General features: G+C 44.4%; 2 protein-coding genes and 1 long non-coding RNA gene across 17 annotated transcripts in view, besides 2 other annotated features; 2 read left to right on the forward strand and 1 right to left on the reverse strand.

The window, feature by feature from the left end:
• The window catches only part of CENPN (centromere protein N), a 25,894-nt gene extending 17,879 nt beyond the window's left edge, over positions 1-8,015 (forward strand). For 5 of the 6 annotated variants that reach the window (XM_006721236.5, XM_047434366.1, NM_001100624.3 and 2 more), the window contains 3 exons: positions 1,434-1,546; positions 3,079-3,205; positions 3,477-6,393. In XM_006721236.5, coding sequence (XP_006721299.1) covers positions 1,434-1,546; positions 3,079-3,205; positions 3,477-3,559 — 323 coding nt within the window. In that variant the 3' untranslated portion in view covers positions 3,560-6,393. Of the gene's footprint in view, positions 1-1,433; positions 1,547-3,078; positions 3,206-3,476; positions 6,394-7,477 lie in introns of those variants that run through there. The other variant, NM_001100625.3, reaches the window with a different exon arrangement.
• CENPN-AS1 (CENPN antisense RNA 1) overlaps positions 1-15,219 on the reverse strand; it is a 23,571-nt gene extending 8,352 nt beyond the window's left edge. For 2 of the 9 annotated variants that reach the window (XR_007065136.1, XR_001752278.2), the window contains exons 1-2: positions 10,577-10,686; positions 9,663-9,834 (exon numbers count right to left, since the gene is read on the reverse strand). This is a non-coding gene — a long non-coding RNA (CENPN antisense RNA 1). Of the gene's footprint in view, positions 1-9,662; positions 9,835-10,306; positions 10,463-10,569; positions 10,689-11,644 lie in introns of those variants that run through there. The other 7 variants (XR_001752279.2, XR_007065131.1, XR_007065134.1 and 4 more) reach the window with 6 other exon arrangements.
• Positions 10,570-10,859: a silencer, noted in NCBI's record as "silent region_7749". NCBI's record gives its function as "represses an Ori minimal core promoter by ATAC-STARR-seq in GM12878 lymphoblastoid cells {active_cell/tissue: GM12878}" and the evidence as "EXISTENCE:reporter gene assay evidence [ECO:0000049][PMID:35858748]".
• Positions 10,750-22,258, forward strand: ATMIN (ATM interactor). Of its 2 annotated transcripts, none has more exons than NM_015251.3 (4): positions 10,750-11,114; positions 16,264-16,389; positions 17,189-17,388; positions 18,069-22,258. In NM_015251.3, exons 1-4 carry the CDS (start codon positions 10,779-10,781, stop codon positions 19,876-19,878), a joined length of 2,472 nt encoding a protein of 823 aa, NP_056066.2. In that variant the 5' UTR covers positions 10,750-10,778; the 3' UTR covers positions 19,879-22,258. The 2 variants fall into 2 exon arrangements, with proteins under 2 accessions (NP_056066.2, NP_001287657.1); NM_001300728.2 differs by lacking the exon at positions 10,750-11,114 and adding an exon at positions 12,106-12,383.
• Positions 11,070-11,419: a silencer, noted in NCBI's record as "silent region_7750". NCBI's record gives its function as "represses an Ori minimal core promoter by ATAC-STARR-seq in GM12878 lymphoblastoid cells {active_cell/tissue: GM12878}" and the evidence as "EXISTENCE:reporter gene assay evidence [ECO:0000049][PMID:35858748]".
• Positions 22,259-23,713: the final 1,455 nt, after the last annotated feature.

Genomic DNA, 23,713 nt, shown 5'->3' on the forward strand with positions numbered 1-23,713 from the left:
AGTCCTGTGAATAAGCGCCATTCATCAGGAAACTGGGTTTCAGGGAGGTATGGTAACTCTCTAGGCAAAGTCACACAGCTAAGGAGTGGCAAAACTGGGAGTAAAATCCAGGTACGTCTGGATCTGGAGCCCATGCTCTTAATGCGCTGGATAAACTTCTAGAACAATGAGAATCATGACTGTATTGCTACTCACAGATGTCTGAAGTCTCTCACTAGAAAACCCAAGAGAAAAGAGTACAGAACTACTAAAGTAAATTTACAAAAGTGGTGGGGTAAAATAAAAATTCATAAAAAAATGAAAACTTTCCTATCTCTTAGTAGAGATTTGGCAATGAAATGAAACAGTGCCACTGTTATAAACTAAACACTTTTATGATTTTCCAGTGTCATAGGAACTGCTGTTGATCTCATCTTAGGTAAAGAAATCAGGATATAAAATTGTGTGTATCTTACGATTCCAGTTTTAAAAATACATAGGTGAGGCTAGGAACAATGTTATGCATCTGTGGTCCCGGCTACTTGGGAGGTTGAGGAGGGAAGATCACGAGCCCAAGAGATCCAGTCCAGACTGGGCAACATAGTGAGACCCTGTCTCTCTTTTTTTTTTTTTTTTTTTTTTTTTTTTTAAGACAGAGTCTCACTCTATTTCCTAGGCTGGAATGCAGTAGCATGATTTCAGCTCACTGCAACCTCTGCTTCCCAGGTTCAAGCGATTCTCTTTCCTCAGCCTCCCAACTATCTGGGACTACAGGCGCCTGCCACCACACCTGGCTAATTTTTGTATTTTTAGTAGACATGGGATTTCACTATGTTGGCCAGGCTGGTCTGGAACTTCTGACCTCAAGTGATCCTCCCGCCTCAGCCTCCTGAAGTGCTGGGATTACAGGTGTGAGCCACCGTGCCCAGCCGAGACCCCATCTCTTAAAAAAAATACATATATAGGCTGGGTGCCATGGAGATATATATATATATATATGTGTGTGTGTGTGTGTGTGTATATATATGTGTGTGTATATATATATGTATATATATGTGTGTATATATATATGTATATATATATGTGTATATATATGTGTATATATATGTGTGTGTATATATATGTATATATATGTGTGTGTATATATATATACACATATATGCATCTTTATTTTTATTCACTGTAAAAAGAGCTAGGCAAAAATATACTAAAATGCTAACAGTGCTTATCTCTGGGTGGTAGAATTATGATTTTTATTTTCTCTTTTATCAACCTGTACTTCACTACCCTAAGAAACTTCCCTACACTAAGAAATTATTACAGCCAAGAGAAGAAGCAGTAAATATTATTTTAAAATTATACAAACAATTCGAAGGGTTAGGAATGAAAGGAGGATAATTTAAGGATGAAATATATTCCTAACGGCTGTTTTATTTGAAATCTTCCACCCATAGTGGATTCAAGGATCATTCATGAAAACATAGTAGAAAAAGAGAGAGTCCAACGAATAACTCAAGAAACATTTGGAGATTATCCTCAACCACAACTAGAATTTGCACAATATAAGGTAAGATGTCGTAATAAATATTAAGTACAAGATATCAACATTGTTTAAAAAGAACAAAAACCTTAAGTGGAAAACAGATCTAAGAAACTGTTCCTTTTTCACTTGTCACTTAAATTTCATGTAATAAATTTATGAATTAAATAGACCTCTTTATTGTATTTATAAGTTCCTCTGTTAGCAAAAGAGACCTTTAGAAATTATGAATCTGGGCTGGGCGTGATGGCTCACTGCAACCTCTGCCTCCCAGGTTCAAGCAATTCTCCTGCCTCAGCCTCCCGAGTAGCTGGGATTACAGGCACCTGCCACCTCACCTGGCTAATTTTTTTTTTTGGAGTTTTAGTAGAGACGGGGTTTCATCGTGTTGGCCAGACTGGTCTCGAACGGCTGGCCTCAGGTGATCCACCTTGCCTCGGCCTCCCAAGGTGTTGGGATTACAGACGTGAGCCACTGCGCCCAGCCATAAGTTGATAATTATTTTACCTGGGTGATGTGCACATGGGGCTCATACCGTGCTCCTTACTTTTGTATATGTTTAAAATCTTCCATAATTAGAAGTTAAAAAGATATCTCAGTTGGGCACAGTGGCTCACACCTATAATCCCAGCACTTTGGGAGGCTGAGGCGGGCGGATCCCTTGAACCCAGGAGACTGAGACCAGCCTGGGCGACACAGCAAAACCCTGTGTCTACAAAAATTCAAAAATACAAGGTGTGGTGGCATGTGGCTGTGGTCCCAGCTACTTGCACTGAAGCGGGAGAATGGCTTGAGCCAGGGAGGTCGAGGCTGCAATGAGCCATGTTCGTACCACTCCAACTTGGGCAACAAAGTAAGACTCTGTCTCAAAAAAGAAACAAAGAAAGAAATCTCAGTGTGACTCAAAAAAAATGTGGTATTTTTACATTGAAGTTACAGATTGCAAAAGATAGCACTAATTTTCCATTAAGAATGCAAACTGTAAAGGGCACCTGAGGGTGGAACTGACAGTCAGTATCTCCCATGTAGCAGGCACTGTGCATGCTGGCATTTTGCCTTGGATGTTGTTTGATACACCAGTTGCCCTCTATGTTTTGTTTTGTTTTTTTCTGAGATGCAGTTTCACTCTGTTGCCCAGGCTGGAGTGCAGTGGCACCATCTTGGCTCACTGCAGCCTCCGCCTCCTGGGTTCAAGCAATTCTCATGCCTTGGCCTCCTGGGTAGCTGGAATTACAGGTGCCCACCACCATACCCAGCTAATTATTGTATTTTTAGTTAAGACGGGGTTTCACCATGTTGGCCAGGCTGGTCTCAAACTCCTAACCTCAAGTGATCCACTCGCCTTGGCTTCCCAAAGTGCTGAGATTACAGGCATGAGCCACTTTGCCCGACCTGCCCTCTATGTTTGCAGTTAGCAGATTAAATGGTCCCCACCCCTGTTAATTCCTGTATTTCTTAATGGCAAGAATTAATGAAACGTATCATTATGATTTCATTATATTTTACCATTCGTATTTATACAATATGTTTAATAGTCATTTATAAATGTTTGTTGACAGCTTGAAACGAAATTCAAAAGTGGTTTAAATGGGAGCATCTTGGCTGAGAGGGAAGAACCCCTCCGATGCCTAATAAAGTTCTCTAGCCCACATCTTCTGGAAGCATTGAAATCCTTAGCACCAGCGGGTGAGTGGTCAGCTTACTCTATAAGCTAGAAAAATTAACAACATGCCTCCATTCCATCCTTATAATCTGCTAATTACTTCTGAGCTCACCCATCACCCTAGTCTGCTAGCCCATCCTGCTCTCTCTTGCATCTTCTGCTTCTGTACTTAATAGGGAGGAGGGGCATCTATGATCCACCCTCTAATCTCAGCCATTTTTAAACTGACTCAAATCCATCCTCCTGTGATGACTTTTAATTTTCTTTTTCCCTTTTTTTTTTTTTTAATTTCAGGTATTGCAGATGCTCCACTTTCTCCACTGCTCACTTGCATACCCAACAAGAGAATGAATTATTTTAAAATTAGAGATAAATAAGACGTGCGTGGTTTCTTAAGCACAGCTCCTCCTTCTTGATATTGCACATGCACTTCAGTTCATGGCTAGCTGTATAGCTTCCGTCTGTAAACTTGTATTTTCAAGAATCCTTGGTATTGAATTTTTAGAAATGCTCACATAATTGTTGGGACTGATTCATTCCTCCACGATATGCCTCCTCTCTCTGATATCCTGCTAACTGTAGCCGTTGTGGCATTTGAGATGACAGGACATATATATATATGGCCCCACACTTGACCTTGAGTGCCTGAATGCTCTGAAATCAAGCATATGGCACAGCGCTCAAGACTTTTGGGTTTGTGTCCTTTTTTCTATGGCTGTCTCTTCTCAATTCTGGAGAGGTCTGGTTCCAGTGGCTGGTTTCCAGGGATTGATTCTTAAGCTCTGGATCACAGAGAGAAGCAACAAGGAACTATACTCAACTCAAAACTTTTTAGGAGAATCATGAAATTGGTCTATTCAAAGGATGGAGTTGAGTCCATTCTGTTATTGTTGCAAGAGGTTGCATATTTGGTGAGTCAGTTATATAAAATAGTGTTCTTATTGTAAATATGATACTTCTCATAATCTATTTTATCATGTGTATAACATTCAAACTGACAAATATATTGACTTATGAATAAAGGTGTCAAAAAACTGGCACATCAGTTAATTTTGATCAAAGTACTTCAGTGATCATCACTAAATACCCTATCTTTTTAAAAATTTTTTCCTTTCTAATTTTTTATTTCTTTATTTATTTATTGAGACAGGGTCTCACTGTGTCACCCAAGCTGGAGTGCAGTGGCATGATCATGGCTCACTGCAGCCTGGACCTCCCAGGCTCAAGTGATCCTTCCACCTCAGCCTCCCGAATAGCTGGGATTACAGACGCGCTCCATCCTGCCCAGCTAATTTTTTTTTTGTTTGTTTTTTGTTTTTTGAGACAAGTCTCCTTCTATCGCCCAGGCTGGAGTGCAATGGCACAATCTTGGCTCCCTGCAACCTCTGCCTCCTGGGTTGAAGAGATTCTCCTGCCTCAGCCTCTGAGTAGCTGGGACTACAGGCCTGCACCACCATGCCCAGCTAATTTTTGTATTTTTAGTAGAGACAGGGTTTCTCCATGTTGCCCAGGCTGATCTCAAACTCCTGGGCTCAAGCAATCTGCCCATTTTAGCCTCCTAAAATGCTGGGATTATAGGAGTGTATTAGTCTATTCTCATGCTGCTAATAAAGATACCTAAGACTGGGTAATTCACAAAGGAAAGAGGCTTAACTGACGCACATTTCCACGTGGCCAGGGAGGCCTCACAATCATGGTGGAAGGCAAATGAGAAGCAAAGTCATGTCTTACATGGCGGCAGGCAAGAGAGCTTGTGCAGGGAAACTCCCATTTATAAAACCACCAGAGCTCATGAAACTTATTCACTACCATGAGAATAGTATGGGGGAAATCGTTCCCATGACTCAAGTATCTCCACCTGGCCCTGCCCTTGTCACATGGGGGTTATTACAATTCAAGGTGACACTTGTGTGGAGACACAGCCAAACCATATCACAGGCATGAGCTACCACGCCCGCCAGCATGTCTTTTTTAAACATTTTAAAATCTATTCTTTATCTTGTTTCAGAGAGGATTTGGAGTTACAGAAACACATTAGACTGGGCATGGTGGCTCACACTTGTAATCCCAGCACTTCAGGAGGTTTCTCCTAGTGTACTCTCACACTTCTGATACCAGATATGTGGGGGAGGGGGTTTCCCCCACACATTAAGCAAGTGTGAAACATGATATAGAAAAATGACTTCACTCTGGGCCGGGTGTAGTGGCTCACGCCTGTAATCCTAGCACTTTGGGAAGCCGAGGTGGGCAGATCACCCGAGGTCAGGAGTTCGAGACCAGCCTAGCCAACATGGCAAAACCTTGTCTCTACTAAAAATAGAAAAATTAGTTGGGGGTAGTGGCAGCCGCCTGTAATCCCAGCTATTCGAGAGGCTGAGGCAGGAGAACTGGTTGAACCGGGGAGGCAGAGGTTGCAGTGAGCCAAGATCATGCCACTGCACTCTAGCCTGGGTGACAGAGTGAAACTCTGCCTCAAAAAATAAAATAAAGGCCAGGCATGGTGGCTCACGCCTATAATCCCAGCACTTTCAGAGGCCAAGGCAGGTGGGTCACAAGGTCAAGAGTTTGAGACTAGCCTTAGCAACATGGTGAAGGTGAACCCCGACTCTACTAAAAATACAAAAATTAGCTGGGCCTGGTGGTGTGCACCTGTAATCCCAGCTACTTAGGAGGCTGAGGCAGGAGAATCGCTTGAACCCGGGAGACATAGGTTGCAGTGAGCCGAGACTGCACCACTGCACTCCAGCCTAGGTGACAGAGTGAGACTCCATCTTAAAAAATAAATAAATAAAATAAAATAAATGACATCACTTTGGTTCAGAGCTCTAAAATGGAGGGAGGAAGCCATTCTAAAAAGGACTCCCTACATGACCTGCAACTTGAAAAAAAATTAAAAGCTCCAAAAAAAAAACAATACAGGAGCTTACCTTGAACCTTTGAATTGGGCCAAATTGCGATGACCACTGCATCCTGGAAAATTTTATTTCACCAGCACTACAACTCCTCAACAGCACCAACCAATAAACTATGGATTTTTGTACTAAGCCAGTTGCCTCTTTCAAAACAACTTGTCAACTTGTCTAATCACCCTCAGCTTTTTTTAAAAACCCCTCCTCTACCCTCTCTCTTCAGAACACAAGTGGCTTCTAGCTGAATCTGTCTCCCAAATTGCAATTCCTAAGACCTCAATAAAAACACCTTGTCTTGCTGCTTTGCAGTGTGGTCTTTTGCCCCTTGGATGACATTAAATGGTGTCAGAATTGAGTGGGACAAAAAAGCAACTCCCTTCTTTGTTCTGGTGCGGCCACGGATTCGAGCACAGTTCCTGCAGGAGGAACCCCTTGTGTTCCACACCTCTCCCATGGCCACGGATTCTGTTTACGAGTTGTCTCATTCCTTAACCCCCTACCTTGGTTGAGGTTCTTTATCCAACGTCCTTGGTTGCCAGCTGTCCAGTAGCTGGGATTACAGGCACGTGCCACCATGCCCAGCTAATTTTTGTATTTTTAGTAGAGACAGGGTTTCACCATGTTGGTCAGACTGGTCTCAAACTCCTGACCTCAAGTGATCCTGCCGCCTCGGCCTCCCAAAGTGCTGGGATTACAGGTGTGAGCCTCAGTGCCCAGCCAAAATTCTATTTAACTTGATTTTTCTCTTCATGGCCAACTCACTGTTTCATTTGTGAAACTACTAGGGAAATTTCAGACTAGGGAATATTGAGGCACAGAAAATGATGGTACTTTGGCATGCTGGATGCTTTTGAAAATGGAAAGGCCTGAGAAATACACTTGAGAGTCAAGGTCCCTCCAACCTTGTCTTATTCTTGCCTCAACCAAGGGCAGAGAGGAACTCCCTCTGGAATTTCCTTGTCTGACTAAGAAAGCTTCTTACTAAAAGAAACACAGTTGCCTTCTATTCTGTCCTTCAAATCTCATTATCTATCAAAAAATGAAGACTGAGGAATAGAGCCACATATGGATGGACCTTTTCATAAGGCCTGCCCCTCAGGCTCATTCAGATTCCAAAGAGAATCATTTACAAGTTAATTTCTGTCTCCCTGGTCCATTTACTCTCCCTTATAATAATTTACTGCTCCTCAGAAGAATTACACACGTTCCCCATCTCCTTACTCTCCTATGAAAAAGGGTATATAAGCGTCCACACCCCATTGGGGGTTGGGGAATCATCACTCTGATGCCTCCCCTCCCCACCAGGCACGTTAATAAAACTTGTATGTCTTTTCTCCTATTAATCCGTCTTTTATCAGTTGATTTTCAGTGTTTTTTTTTTTTTAGCACTTGTTTGCAGGATCCAAAAGCTGCTCTGCTATTCTGGAAGCCACAGTCAAGGGACCCAGGACCCGAGCAGCTGGCAGAAGGACTTGTACCTTCTGTTTGTCCCATTGTATCCAAGATGTTAAAATCATGATGTCACAACATTTAGACATTTAAATGGTTAATCAAATGTATGTCTCTCCTGATATACAGCTAACTGCTATAGACTAATGCAGGCCTCCTTGTTAAAATGGACCCTTTGTTACTCAAATTTGACCAATCTTGGAAGCTTGGATGTGCACTGACTTGACAACCACTTTTTGTGGGACATAACACTCTAGACACAGGTGCTTCTAGCTCTAAGGGGAACAGATAACTAATCTGTGGCCAACCAACCAATGATTAATCAGCTATGCTGCCTCGGATCTTGATCAAAAAAGGAAAATGTGAAAAGTGATACACAAAATGGCATCACTTTGGTTCAGAGCTCTAAAATGGAGTTGGGAAGCCATTCTAAGAAGGACTGCCTGCACAATCTGCAACTTGCAAAACACAAAAACAAAAAATATGAACTTGCCTTGAAGCTTTGAACTGGGCCAAAACTGCAATAACCACTACATCCTGGAAAACTGAATTTCACCAGTGCTACAACTCCTGAACAGCGGCAACCAATCAACTATGGATTCATGTACTAAGCCAGCCACCTCCACCAATGATAATTCTTTCAAAACAATTTGTGTATTAACCCTCTGCTTTCTTTTAAAAACATCTACTTCTCTCCCTCTTTTCAGAACCCCATTTGGCTTCTAGGTGAATCTGTGTCTCCCAAATTGTAATTTCTAAGACCCCAATCAAAATGCCTTGTTTGGCTGGACGTGGTAACTTGCATCTATAATCCCAGCACTTTCGGAGGCCGAGGCAGGTGGATCACTTGACCCCAAGCTGGCCAAAATGGCGAGACCCTGTCTCTTTTCTTTTTTTTTTTTTTAATTAAAAAAAAATGCCTTGTCTTACTGCTTTGCAGTGTGGTCTTTCACCTCTTCTTTTTTTTTTTTTTTTTTTTGAGACAGTCTTGCTCTGTCACCAGGCTGGAGTACAGTGGTGCGATCTTGGCTCACCACAACCTCCGTCTCCTGGGTTCAAGCGATTCTCCTGCCTCAGCCTCCTGAGTAGCTGGGATTACAGGCGTGCGCACCACACCCGGCTAATTTTTGTATTTTTAGTAGAGACAGAGTTTCACCATGTTGGCCAGGATGGTCTCGATCTCTTGACCTCGTGATCCGCCCTGCCTCGGCCACCCAAAGTGCTGGGATTACAGGCGTGAGCCACCATGCCTGGCCCTTTCACCTCTTCTTGGTTGACATAAGCAATCAGTTCTACAGCAGATACCAGCTGGGTATGCTCCAGTTCAATTCCAACACTAACTACCTGGCGATATCATCAGACCCCATAGGTTAAGGGCTCAGTCCCACAAAACTGCCACCCACTTCTGAGGCCAGTTGCCAGCCCCAGGTTGTTTCACCTGCGCTTCTGACTAACCAGCTATAAATTGCATTTCCCACAACCCTCTCTTCATGTTCAATTAATTTGCTAGGGCAGCTCACAGAACTCAGGAAGACACATAGACTGACTTCTTACAAGGGATGTTACAAAGGATTCAGATGAAAAGATGCATAGGGCAAGAGCTTCCACGCATGCCCTCTTTGAGTGCGCCTCCCTCCAGGAAACTCCATGCATTCAGCTATCTGGAAGTTCTCCAAACCCATTTCTTTTGGGATTTTATGGAGGCTTCATTACCTAGGAATGATTGATCAGCTTAAGCTTCAGCCCCTGTCTCCTCCCCAGAGGTTGAGGGGGAGGGCTGAAAGTCTCAAGCCTCTAATCCTACCTTGGTCTTTCCAGTGACCAGTCCCATCCTAAAGCTACCTAGGGACTGTGAGTCATCAGTCAACTAATTAGCATACAAAAAAACACCAATTTGCTGATTCCAAGGATTTTAGGAATTGCATGCCAGGACAAAGACCAAATATATACTTCACATTATCACAGTTATCTTGCAAGGCAAAGGGACTTGGCAGTTGGAGAAATTATCCTGGATGATTTGAATGGGCCCAATGTCATCACAGGGGGCCTCAAGAATAGAAGAATCAGAGGGATCACTACTGAAGAAATCAGAGTGATGTGATGTGACGAAGACTCAACTCACCGTTACTGATTCTGGAGATGGAGGAAGGGTCCGCAAGCCAAGGAATGTAGGCAACCTCTAGAAGCTGGGAAAGGCAAGTGAACAGATTCTCCCCTGGAGCCTTGGGAAGGAATACAGCCCTGCTGACACCTTGATCTTAGCCCAGCAGTCTCATTTCTTTTGACCTCCAGAGCTGGAAGATAATAAATTTGTGTTAAGGCAGTAAGTTTGTGGTAATTTATTAATAGCAAGAGAAAACGAATATAGCTGCTAGTATGTAAAAGGTGGAAATTTTCACATAAAACTCTAGCCATACCAAAGATGAGTAGCAGCTGCCCCCTTTTAATAAAGGATGTGTTTCCAATTTCACTGCAGTCCTCACCCCTCCCTTTTGTCTACCCCAGCCTCCTATGTCCATTTACATGAACTACCCAGTCTAAGTATTAAGTTTTGTAATCGTATACTGAACTGCAGTGTCTCCCAAACAGTAATCCTAATTTCAGCAGCTAAAATAGAAGCAAGCAAATCCAGCCTTCTTAAAATGATTAATCCTATCAATAATAACAATCTTTTCATTTGTATAGTGTGGTCTAGGTCAAGTTACTTAATTTATATAAGCCTAAATGTCCTTCTCTGCACAAGGTGGGGCAAGTTACAGTACATACCCGCTACAGTCGTTTTGAAGACAAAATGAGACACAGCATGAAAAGTGCATCCACCAGACCCACCTGGTACCCAGTAAGGCCTAGGTAATAAACAACGGCGGAAATCAGTGTACTTCTGCCTCACCTGCCACTAGACATTTGGGTTGTTTCTAATCTTTGGGAAGTAAACGCATTGCTCAACGTATTGCTTTTTCTTTTATGTGACTACTGCCTGAAGTCACTTTCCTAGGAAGAATGGATCGATTAGAGAGGCGGGGCAATACCTTTTACCTGCTGGCAGGTGAAATTTCGCCTCCTGGCGGCGTCACCTAAAGTCCTCTCCCTCCAAGGCGCGCCCTCCGCGGCCGGCAGGGGGCGCCGCGGCCGCCTGGGCCCGCCGGATGCTAACAAGCCTGGCGGCCTCGCCCCCTGCCGGAAGTGGCTGCGGCGGGGGCGGGGCCTACGAACTGGGCCGGGCGGCCGTGCGGGAGCCATGGCGGCCTCGGAGGCGGCGGCGGCGGCGGGGTCCGCGGCTCTGGCGGCGGGTGCCCGGGCCGTCCCGGCGGCCACGACAGGAGCCGCCGCCGCCGCCTCGGGCCCGTGGGTGCCCCCGGGACCCCGACTGAGGGGCAGCCGGCCGCGGCCCGCGGGGGCGACGCAGCAGCCCGCTGTCCCCGCGCCGCCGGCGGGGGAGCTGATCCAGCCGTCGGTGAGCGAGCTGTCCCGGGCCGTGCGGACCAACATCCTGTGCACCGTGCGCGGCTGCGGCAAGATCCTGCCCAACAGCCCCGCGCTCAACATGCACCTAGTCAAGAGCCACCGCCTGCAGGTGAGCCCGACGCGGCCGGCGGCCCGGGGGGCCGGGCCTGGCTCCAACAAAGCGCCCGGCGCCGGCGCGCGAAGCCGGCCTCGGGGGGACGAGCGCCCTGCGCGCTGCCGCTGCCGCTGCCCCACCGGCCTCTGCCCTCCCCGGCCGGAGGCGGCTCTCGAACCCTCGCGGCAGGCGCCGCAGGTGCGGCCTCTGGGGGGGAGGAGGAGCTGGGAGCCCCGGGTCCGCCGTACGCGCCAGTTCCCTGGTTCCCTGGCTCCCTGGCCCCGAGTGTCGTGCCGGACGCCGGCCCAGGCTTTTTACACTTTTTTGCCTGTGAGTTCTTAACGGCGTTTTGGCGAGGGACGCATCGTCTCCATTATATTAATGAGAAACAGATTATGCAACCTAGATGATGCGGGGCTTTAAACCGGGGCCTCTGGTTCTAAAGCCCTGTGCTTGCCACGACACCCACAATGCCGCCCTTGGGTCCTGCCCAGTGGACTGTATGTGCCACAATAACTAGAAGAGAGGGTTTTAAATGTTCTCACCACCAAGAGACAATACGTTTGAGGTCGAGGACATGTTAAACACTCTGACTTGATCACTATGCAATGTATATGTCCATCCATGCTGCACACCGCACCCCATCAGTAGGAATAATTACTGTGTGTCGATTATGAATAAAAAAATGTTTTAAAGGAGCGGTAGGTTTGCCTCTAAACACCATCAGTCAGTTTCACGGTGTTGGTAAGATCAGCTCAGGACTGAGACCTAAGGGAAATTGCCCCTGTGGCTCTTCTTTAAGAGGGGGACACAGTAAATACACCATGACAATAGTCTCAACAACCCTCCACGTTATGCAAAACAGGGCAGTCATTTTCAACCTTGGGACACATCTGTGACAAGCTTATTAAAAATCCAGATGTCCAGCCCCACCCCGGACCTGTTAAGTCACAATCTCTCAGTCATTACAATGGCAAGTTTCCTTCCACCACTCTAGGCCAGCAGTGACATAATTCAAAAGCGCAAGTCATTGAAAGCAGTTCTGCGAATATGTAGCTTTTGATGATCAGGAGTAAATTTAGAGTACCCAGAATATTGCATGTTCTGTCTGCCCATAGTCAGGCTTCTGATAAGAATTTCACAGCAGAAAACTCTGAGGTTGTAGTCTCTAGTAGGACAGATGTGTCGCCAATGAAGAGTGATCTGCTCTTACCACCATCTAAACCGGGATGCAACAACGTTCTCAATTGAAGATCAGGGAGCCAGTCAGGAAATGTACCTGAGGTATGCTGAGGAAGACCGTGCAGGTGGGGCCGAATTGTTGGACTGAAAAGCTCTGGGTTTCTTTCAGCACTCAAGTGTAACTCTGGGAATGGCTTTCAACCTGTTGTTTTGTTTTCATACTAAATTTTAACTAAATCCTTTTCTTCCCTATTGTTTTTGTGTTTTTTTGTTTGTTTTTGAGACAGAGTCTCACTCCATCACCCAGGCTGGAGCGCAGTGGCGCCATCTCAGCTCACTGTAACCTCTGCCTCCGGGGTTCAAGCAGTTCTCCTGCCTCAGCCTCCCTAGTAGCTGGGATTACAGGCACCTGCCACCACACCCTGCTAATTTTTTTTTGTATTTTTAGTAAAGACAGGTTGCACCATGATGGCCAGCTTGGTCTCGAACTCCTGACCCTCAGGTGATCCACCCACCTCAGCCTCTTAAAGTGCTGGGATTCCAGGTGTGAGCCACCGCGACCGACCTAAATCCTTTATTTAATCATAACTTAGGTGGATGAACTATTTCTTAATAGTTTCTGTTGTTCCTTTCTGTGGAGTTGTTGTTAGGAGCTCTAGCTCTTTAAAGACCCTGGTAAACATCTGTTGAACATAAAGATACCATTTGCCTTTCAGGACTGGTTAGTATACAGTAGGTTTGTTTCTAATTATGTTGGGTTTTTTTTGTTTTGTTTGAGACAGAGTCTCACTCTGTCGCCCAGGCTGGAGTGCAGTGGCGCCATCTTGGATCACTGCAACCTCTGCCTCCCAGGTTCAAGCGAGTCTCCTGCCTCAGCCTCCCTAGTAGCTGGGATTACAGGTGCATACCACCACGCCCAGCTAATTTTTGTATTTTTAGTAGAGGTGGGGTTTCACCATGTTGGCCAGGCTGGTCTCGAACTCCTGACCTCAAGTGATCCACCCGCCTCAGCCTCCTAAAGGGCTGGGATTACAGGTGTGAGCCACTGTGCCCAGCCAGGGCAAACTTTTTTTTAGCAGGAATTATACCTCACCAGATCCATCATTTTTTTCTTGACAAGCAGACTGACTTTCCTGTCTTGTCCTGGCTTTCTAACCGCAGTGCCCAGTGGCCCCTGAGCAGCTCCTGTCTTGGTGTCTTCCTTTAATGAAGGTTGTCTGTGTGATGCAATAGCCATCTATATGATGGTGCCCAGTATGGAGATCTGTACCTTGTCTGGTTACTACATAGAAGGCTTTTCAGGGTCTTGCTCTGTTAACCCAGGTTGCTGTCAGGCTCTTGAGCTCAAGTGATCCTCCTGCTTTAGCCTCCCCAGTAGCTGAGACTATAGGCTCCTGCCACCATGCCCTGCCTCAAACATTGTTCTTTTTGTTTGTTTGTTTGAGACAGTCTCACTCTGTCGCCCAGACTGGAGTGCAGTGGCATGATCTCGGCTCACTGCAACTTCCGCTTCTCGGGTTCAAGCAGTTCTCTTGCCTCAGCCTCCCGAGTAGTTGGGACTACAGGCATGCTCCACCACGCCCGACTAATTTTTGTTTTATTAGTAGAAACAGGGTTTCGCCATGTTGGTCGGGCTGGTCTTGAACTCCTGACCTCAAGTGATCCGCCCGCTTCAGCCTCCCAAAGTACTGGGATTACAAGAGTGAGCCACTGCGCCAGGCCTCAAACATCAATGTTGATACCTGTTTTCAAAGTACTGGAAGAAGGTAGGGGTAAGGACAAGGAACCGGGAGGAAGGCTGGCTGGGAAGCTATCTTAGGTTTTAAGAGCTGTGTTGACCAGAGACTCCATCCACTTTCTGCCCTGAGTATCTTATTGGCAGGTTTTCTTATAGTCAGTGGAAATTTTCGGTCTTAGTTACAGCTGCTTGCATAATTTCTTTCATTGTTTATATATTTTCTAGATTATATTTTCTTCCCCTCCCCACTAGTTGCTGTTGGTTCTTATTTTATTCTAATCTTTCTTCCCAAAACACCCCACCCCCAACCAAATCTTCCCTTCTTAACATAAATGATGAGCAACGAGGATGGGTGAGAATGAGGAATTGGATTGCAAACTGTAGAGTATGTGCCGCCTTCTGGTTTGATGTGGGTGCCTAAGGTATATGGCCATATTCCATATCCTGTAAGGAAATCCAGAAATCTAGCCCAGCCTTGTGTATGGTGGGATTCATGGAGAAATGAAAGCCATGAGGATTCAGGGGCAGGAAGAGCAGAAGTAAATGTACATTTTTTTATTCCTAGAGATTCTTTTGTTCCTTGTGTGTGAAAGCAGTGGAGGGGACAGGCAGGCACTTAAAGAACCTCTTATCAAGCAACATTTATATTGTAAAACATGGCTTAGAGGATTTTGTGTTATTTTTAGTCCAGAGGTTTGTTTTTAATGATTTGCCAGAAATTTTTTAAGGAAAGGAAAGGTTCCAAGTTACTCTATAGACTATACTGTACAAAGATTTCTAATTTTAAATTTAGAATAAGATGACAAAGCAAACCGTTTCCTTCTTGGATGCTTTCTCGGAAGGCAGTCAGGTGGTGCTAGAGTAGCTAGACAGACAGTTTTTCCTAGTTTTTGCTACAGTTCTTACAATCGTTTCTTTTCACCCTCTACTCTTCAACTGTGTCTTACTTTTCCTCTTGTATATTTTCTTTCTGTCTTGTTACTGGATTGTTTCCTCTCATAGGTTCTCTTTTCAGTTATGCGCACAAAAGATACAGTACAAAAAGTCCAGTGCATTTTATTCTTGAAAGTATATAGAACTTCAGAATGAAAACACCACTTTCTCACTGCACTTCCATTTTATCGTGCCATTGCCATTTCTCATCTGAGCCATCCTACCCTTGAGCTTATTCTCTGAGGACAGAAATGGGAAGAAGGCCCCAGAAGCAGTGGGTGGGGGTGGGAGGAGGCTGCTGTGCTGGTGAGTGGTGGGGTGTTGGCTCTCAGAAAACAGGAGCATGGACAGTGTCAGCTTGTTGCCATGACAGTGAGGTTATTAACATCCACTTAGACTGTCTTCAGTGGTCTCTTACCCAGGCATGATAGTTTTGGCTTAGATGGCTACCTGAAGAGATTCAGTATAATGCTACCAGTTTTTATTGAACATTTATTCTGTTCAAAACATTCCCAAAGGCAACAGAAGATACAAATAAATCTCTGCCCATGTAAAGGTGTGGGGGGCATTAGAAGGCGTTCTCTTCGGTGTAATGAAGTAATGAGAGAAGAAAAAGTAGTTTGAAGCTATGGAGTAAGGGACTTTGAGTATCCCAGGCTCAAAAAGTTGGGACTTGAACAGTACGGGGGTGCTGCTGAAAACGTTTGAGGGAGGTAATGACATGATCGAAGCTATACTTGAGAAAGGTGAATCTGATAAAGTATGAGTGAAAAAGAGACTGAAGGTCTAGAAATTAGATTGAGGCTAATGACAAAATCCACATAAATAGGAGGACTTGAACGAAGGGGCACTTAGAAGAGGACAGGAGATAGTAAAAGGCATTCAATGATGAGAGCACACACTACAGGGGAGCATGAGGGAGGTTGGAAAAGATAATGAAAGGATTACCGAGCTTCACTGACGATGTGTTTGAAATGAGCAGGAATCTTGTAGTGATCCTAATCCGTGGTTTTCTGGAGCATTTCACAGCCTAGGAACATACAAGGGGGGCATCTCCCTGGAATGTAAATTGACTAAGAGGAATTCAGTAATGGTCAAATGAATGCAGAATTTTAGAGTCTTGCTTAGTATTCTCACCACATTTCGTTTAATCTACTCATACTCTTTTTCTCTTACTGCTGACACTAGATGGAAAAACTCTTAATTAAAAGTATTTCACAAAATGTGCTCGTTTTCAGTCATTCCGTTTCCACTCCAGCCTGTTGTGTTGTTTTTTTGAAATAATAATTTAAAGTAATTTTCCTTTTGCAGGATGGCATAGTCAATCCAACAATAAGAAAAGATTTGAAAACTGGACCGAAATTCTACTGCTGTCCAATTGAAGGCTGCCCCAGAGGCCCTGAGAGACCGTTTTCTCAGTTTTCTCTCGTAAAACAGGTACTCTCTACTCTGAGGATGAGATACAGATGCTAAAAACCTATTGTGCATTCTGATTACTTAGCAGACATAACTACAGAATTGAGTAGACAGCTGCTTGTGAGGGGAGATGCCTGCGTGTCTCCCAGTTGGTATAAACCTGAGTATGCTGTTACACAAGTGGAGGGAAAAGCGGCACGGTCTGGAGGGAATATGTCTAGAACTGAGTTAAAATACAGAGAGAGAGAGTAAACCAGTTCAGCAAAGAATGAGAAAATGTTTGCTCGCAGATCTCCTGTGTGAGTCTGCATACCTCCAAGGGCCCAGCGCAAAGGCACAAAGGAACTGTTCTCCCAGGGGAATAAGAACCTGCAGAATCCAGGAAAAGAAGAGTTTTGGAAGCCGCAATCTTAAGAGGAGGGAGGGCCCCAGTGACTGGGACAAGAGGTGATTCAGAACTGGAAGAGATTGGCATCTGAAATGTTCCCCTGAGGGTCTGCTGGAGGGCGTCCTGAGAAGAGCATTGTAAAGACATTTTTTTCCTGCCTGCAGCACTTACAGATCAGAGTGTAAATGCTGGAGACCATAGATGTTTCCAAAACAATCTCCTCACTTTTCACAAAGCAAAAGCAACAAGAAGAGGCATATATATAATTAACTGCGATGTTCCTGCTTTTACATTCTTTTGACTTGGACTGCTGTATTTTATGTTATTTATATTAATAGTGTAAAATCATTATTAATTTGGGTGTATGATGGTTTCTGAAATGTTTTGACCAGTTGCTGTTTTTCACCTTAGTCCCTTCTGCGTTCCTCCTAGCACTTTATGAAAATGCATGCTGAGAAGAAGCACAAATGTAGTAAGTGCAGCAATTCGTACGGTACAGAATGGGACCTGAAAAGACATGCAGAGGACTGTGGCAAGACCTTCCGGTGCACATGCGGCTGTCCCTACGCCAGTAGAACAGCACTGCAGTCTCACATCTACCGAACTGGGCACGAGATACCTGCAGAACACAGGTGAAGGGAAAGAAATGATGGCACAGAAGTCAGTAGCTATGGGAAGCATTTCAGATGAAACATCCTGGAGAGCCAGTGGTGTGGGGAGGAAAAAGGAATCTTAGAAAATGTGTGACGTGGAAGAAGGAAGCTTTTGAAAATGGAAGCAGGTCTTGCAAATGACACATGTCTGGGCCTGAAATCTTGACCCAATTGTTCCCCCTATTTTTTTCTGCCAGCCCTCTTTGAGAGTCCCTTGTTATTTCCATTTGAAAATCTCAGCTTCCAGAATTTTCTATCAGAGGGAACCAAACTGCCAACAAATAAGTTTTATCATGAAACTGTACTTCATTTAAAGGTCAAATTTTCATTTAGTGTGATAGCTTCCTGCCTTAGAAATGATAAAACTTGCATTATGTAAGTCTTTTAGCTTCTTTTGGCTTAAAGATCTGAGTTGAGTTCTAGTACTTAGAGCTTAACAAAAGGTATGTTTCCTCCTTCTCTGTTTGCATGTTTCTCAAAGTTCACCTGCTATAATAGGACCAACTCCCAGAGTTGCGAAAGAATGGATTTATCTTGTCTGGGTTGAACATGACCTCTGCTATAGATGGGGGAAATGGCATTTGTAAGTGAGGATAGAGTGTCATGGTCGAAGAAAGTTGTATTTTAAGGTTTTCTTTTTGCTCTGTCATTGTTTTCAGGGACCCACCTAGTAAGAAAAGGAAAATGGAAAACTGTGCACAAAACCAGAAGTTATCCAACAAGACCATTGAATCATTGAACAACCAACCAATCCCTAGACCAGACACTCAAGAACTAGAAGCTTCAGAAATAAAGCTAGAACCATCTTTTGAAGACTCTTGTGGCTCTAACACTGACAAGCAGACTCTTACAACACCACCGAGATATCCTCAGAAGTTGCTTTTACCAAAGCCCAAAGTGGCTTTGGTTAAACTACCCGTGATGCAGTTTTCTGTCATGCCTGTCTTTGTGCCTACAGCCGACTCCTCAGCCCAGCCTGTGGTGTTAGGTGTTGATCAGGGCTCTGCCACAGGGGCTGTGCACTTAATGCCCTTGTCAGTAGGAACCCTGATCCTCGGCCTAGATTCAGAGGCTTGCTCTCTTAAGGAGAGCCTACCTCTTTTCAAAATTGCTAATCCTATTGCTGGTGAGCCAATAAGTACTGGTGTTCAAGTGAACTTTGGTAAAAGTCCATCTAATCCTTTACAAGAACTAGGGAACACGTGTCAAAAGAATAGCATTTCTTCAATCAACGTGCAGACAGATCTGTCTTATGCCTCACAAAACTTTATACCTTCTGCACAGTGGGCCACTGCTGATTCCTCTGTGTCGTCTTGTTCTCAAACTGATTTGTCGTTTGATTCTCAAGTGTCTCTTCCCATTAGTGTTCACACTCAGACATTTTTGCCCAGCTCTAAGGTAACTTCATCTATAGCTGCTCAGACTGATGCATTTATGGACACCTGTTTCCAGTCAGGTGGGGTCTCCAGAGAAACTCAAACCAGTGGGATAGAAAGTCCAACGGATGACCATGTACAGATGGACCAAGCTGGAATGTGCGGAGACATTTTTGAGAGTGTTCATTCATCATATAATGTTGCTACAGGTAACATTATAAGCAACAGTTTAGTAGCAGAGACAGTAACTCATAGTTTGTTACCTCAGAATGAGCCTAAGACTTTAAATCAAGATATTGAGAAATCTGCACCAATTATAAATTTCAGTGCACAGAATAGTATGCTTCCTTCACAGAACATGACAGATAATCAGACCCAAACCATAGATTTATTAAGTGATTTGGAAAACATCTTGTCAAGTAATCTGCCTGCTCAGACATTGGATCATCGTAGTCTTTTGTCTGACACAAATCCTGGACCTGACACCCAGCTCCCATCTGGCCCAGCCCAGAACCCCGGAATCGATTTTGATATCGAAGAGTTCTTTTCGGCCTCAAATATCCAGACTCAAACTGAAGAGAGTGAACTTAGCACCATGACCACCGAGCCAGTCTTGGAGTCACTGGACATAGAGACTCAAACGGACTTCTTACTCGCAGATACCTCTGCTCAGTCCTATGGGTGTAGGGGAAATTCTAACTTCTTAGGCCTTGAGATGTTTGACACACAGACACAGACAGACTTAAACTTTTTCTTAGACAGTAGCCCTCATCTGCCTCTGGGAAGTATTCTGAAACACTCCAGCTTTTCCGTGAGTACTGATTCATCTGACACAGAGACCCAAACTGAAGGAGTCTCCACTGCTAAAAATATACCTGCTCTAGAAAGCAAAGTTCAGTTGAACAGTACAGAAACACAGACCATGAGTTCTGGGTTTGAAACCCTGGGGAGCTTGTTCTTCACCAGCAACGAAACTCAGACAGCAATGGATGACTTTCTTCTGGCTGATCTGGCCTGGAACACGATGGAGTCTCAGTTCAGCTCTGTAGAAACCCAGACTTCTGCGGAACCACACACAGTCTCCAACTTCTAAAACTAACGGTGGAGTCCATGTGTGAAATGGCATCTACCATTTCCTCTGGATTAAAACTACGGACTGGGGACAACAGTATTAATTCGATTGAATGTGGCTGATGATGCAGTTGCTTAGCTTCTTTGTGTTTCTTTGCCTTTTGTACTTGTAAACAGAAATTTGCGTATAAATGTGAGTGTATTATAAAGTTTGAGATGTTGATCTAAATTGTTTTTGTGTTGCCTACATTTGCCTTTTCACAGCTAGTCTTTTCATGTTAAAAAAAAAAATGTATTTCATATCTATAAAACCTATATAGCCATTTAGCTGAAGCCCAGCTTACCAGGTTCAAGGGTACAAACTTCTCAAATCTTCAAAACATTTTAGTCAAAGTGTAATATACTTAAACTGCACCTAAAATATCTTTGGCACTGCTTGTTAGAAATTCCTGATTCCTGTTACTAATCACTAAAGAAACCGGATGCTGCCACCGTAGGATTTAAGCAGTAGTGCTTCCATGCTCTTAAGACTCCTGCTGCCTGGACCTTCGTCAGCTTTGACACCTCTTTTCTGATTTAAAGACACCAAGGAAAACTACAACTGTCTTTAGCTTTGAAGCAGTTTTCATGTAATCATTGCCACCTCTTCGCTACATGAACTACTATTGATACCAGCATACAAGTGTACAGCACTTTACACACAAGAGGTTTATTGATGTAAAATTATCGGCTAGGGAAGCAGCAGCGGGCCAGGTGTGGTGGCTTACCCCTGTAATCCCAGCACTTTGGGAGGCCAAAGCAGGACGATCACTTGAGCCCAGGAGTTCAACACCAGCTTGGGCAACGTAAGAAGACCGTGTCTCTGGAATTTTTTTTTTTTTTTAATTAGCCAGGCACAGTGGCATGCGCCTGTGATCCCAGCTACTTGGAAGGCTGAGGTGAGAGGATCACTCGAGGAGATTGGGGCTGCCATGAGCCATGGTCTTGGCACTGTACTCCAACCTGGGTAACAGGGCAAGACCCTATCTCAAAAAAAAAAAAAGTCGCCAGCAACAAGCACGTAGTGTAGTGTTCCTGCTAAATGAGCGTAGGTTATCCAAACCTTGGGAACAGGGAGTTATGGAAACATGCCTATGACTTCATCTTGGGGTGTGTCCTATGAAGATCCTTTCTGGTCTCCACAGTAGGCCAGAGTTGGGGGCTCTGGAGCTGTTTCCCCAAGTGCATCCACAAGCTGGATCTGAGTTTTGTCACTCTAAAATTAAACAAGAAAAAAAGTGGGAAAAGGGCATCCCCCATTAGGTTTCAATACTTTGCACTTCTACTAAGCTTGATAGGGCAGGAGTGCAATCTACAATTATTTTAAAGTGAATTTCCTTCCATTCACCATTCTTTATCTTTTCTTTGAATAAGAAAAAGTATCTAGCAAGGATATTACTTGTGCCTTGAGGCTAGCAATTATAGGATAGATTCATCTAAAATATGGTATTCTGCATTTTGGTTTTTTTTCTTAAGTGAATAATACCAGTCTTCAAAGAAAACAAGGTGAAGACCTATTGCTTCAATAATCAAGAATGCTTTGTGTGTTTTGAGGTAGGAGCATGATCAAGTATGCTTTGGGGATTTTCTGTATTTAGGAGATCCTGGATTCTTAATTGTTGGCTAAGTTCCAGTCAAGTAGGAATCAGTGCAGCCTGTAAGTTCTCCACATTGACACACACACACACACACACACACACACACGACATGCTCCTTTCTGTGGCACATGCCTGTATTACTGAAAGCTAAATCCTCAAAACCTAGTAAGGGGACTAATGATTCATTAAAGTAAATTGATGGTTTTGCTACTAATTCCTATCCCATACATTTGACACAAAAGAAGTGTTGGTAATGGATAAATAACATATCCCGGGCAGATGAGCTCAACCTAGTAGGTAAGAGTTTGGTTTGGTCACAGTTGCCTATGAGTGTGGGTTTCAAAAGAAACATAAAGCCTTAACTTAGAATTTCATTATGTTTTAGAATCATCACTGCCTTAATATTCAAGCATCTATTTAAGTCCTAATAAAGGAGAAATGCATGTTTATGGCTTTTTTGTAAATATAAATGCAGTGATCTATGGCTTAAAAAATTTGTTTCTGTGACAATGTTTGTAAATCTAGCCAATAGAGTCATTTACAGAAGAAAAATGAGCATGTAATAATACAAGAACTGTTTCCCCCTCAAAACCTGAACCTGAATTATTTGTAAAAACTGAAATTTAATGATTAAAGAGAAGCCAGAATTGTACCCTTTTTTGTGAATTCTTGAACGTACTCATAAATATGACTTATTGTATTGCCTTAAGTTTTCACTCATTGTCTTTTGAAAGCCATATGATAAAATGATTTTATTTAATAATACCCAGTTATTTTCATTGTTTTTTCTTTTGTTCATGAAAATATGCTAACAGACAATTTTCCTAGAAAAGACACTCCAGGTAATACCAGCCAGATGGCTGACTAGAGGTCCCTAATGCTTGTTGCCCCCACAGAAAAGGACCAAAACAACAAATAGAATACATTTTGACTAGAGTATCTAAAAGAAAATGAGGCCTGGCATGGTGGCTCGTGCCTGTAATCCCAGCACTTTGGGAGGCTGAGGCGGGTGGATCACCTGAGGTCAGAAGTTCGAGACTGGCCTGGCCAACATGGTGAAACCCCATCTCTACTAAAAATGCAATAATTAGCTGGGCGTGATGGTGCATGCCTGTAATCCTAGCTACTCAGGAGGCTGAGGCAGGAGAATCGCTTGAACCTGGGAGGCAGAGGTTGCAGTGAGCCAAGCCTGCACCACTGTACTCCACCCTGGATGGCAAAGTGAGACTCTGTCTCAAAAAAAAAAAAAAAAAAAGAAAAAATGCTGGAGTATATCAGGGGAGTGGTAGAGAACCTGTGGCACACAGAGACTCAGGACGGCCAGAGAGAGAAGGGAGTGAAATACCCTGCTCTGCCACCCCGTCTCCCCAGTCAGGATGAGCTCAGAACCAAGATGGATTTCTGCCTGGGGGAAAAGGAAGGCAGAAGGTCGCCAGCAGGTCCCATTACCACCACAGACACCTGTAGTCTTTTCTGCTGGAGAATCCTGCAGTTCTCTCAAGCCCTGAGCCCAGTTTAGAAAGCATCCTCGAATTCACATGACTGCATTACTGCAGAGAAAAAGCCGACATTGTGACCCAAGCTACTACAGCATGGCACCATTTTCAACCTGGACCCACTGCTCTAGGGGACAGTAACCACTGCATCTCTCCATTCCTGAGGTTCTGCTATCACTACACCATCTCACACACAGCAGTGCAGCATCCCCCAGCTGAGGGGCTACAGCTCCCTACTCCTTGGGAACAAGCTGCCCAAGAGCTGCTCCATCTTAACCATCCTCGCGGCAGCACAGTCCTGAACTCAACTACTCAGAACCTAGGCCTAGCAGAACAGCCATGACCCTAGCACCCAGGCCCATGCAGTGCCCTGCCTCCAAAGGAACAGGAAGTGTTGCTCAGTGGGGAAGCCAAGCTCAAGCCAGTGGACCAGCCCTGCATCCCCTCAGCATGTAAAAAGCCGATACTCCATCCACAAAGGAGCCATACTCAACCCAGGATGCCAGCCACACAGTCTACTGCAGCCTAGGCCACTGAGGCACTTGCAGGCATTGCTGACATTGATTACAGCTGAAGAACCTGCATGAAGACCACACTACTACTGTACCCATACAGAACCAAAGCCAGTGTGCCTTACTCAACTGATACTTAGGCCCCATCTGCACATTAAAGCCTTTCCCTATGAAAGCCACTGCATAGAACTGGAAAAGGCAGCTGATCCATC

Source organism: Homo sapiens, chromosome 16, assembly GCF_000001405.40.
Source record: "Homo sapiens chromosome 16, GRCh38.p14 Primary Assembly".
In the NCBI taxonomy this organism is placed as follows: domain Eukaryota; kingdom Metazoa; phylum Chordata; class Mammalia; order Primates; family Hominidae; genus Homo; species Homo sapiens.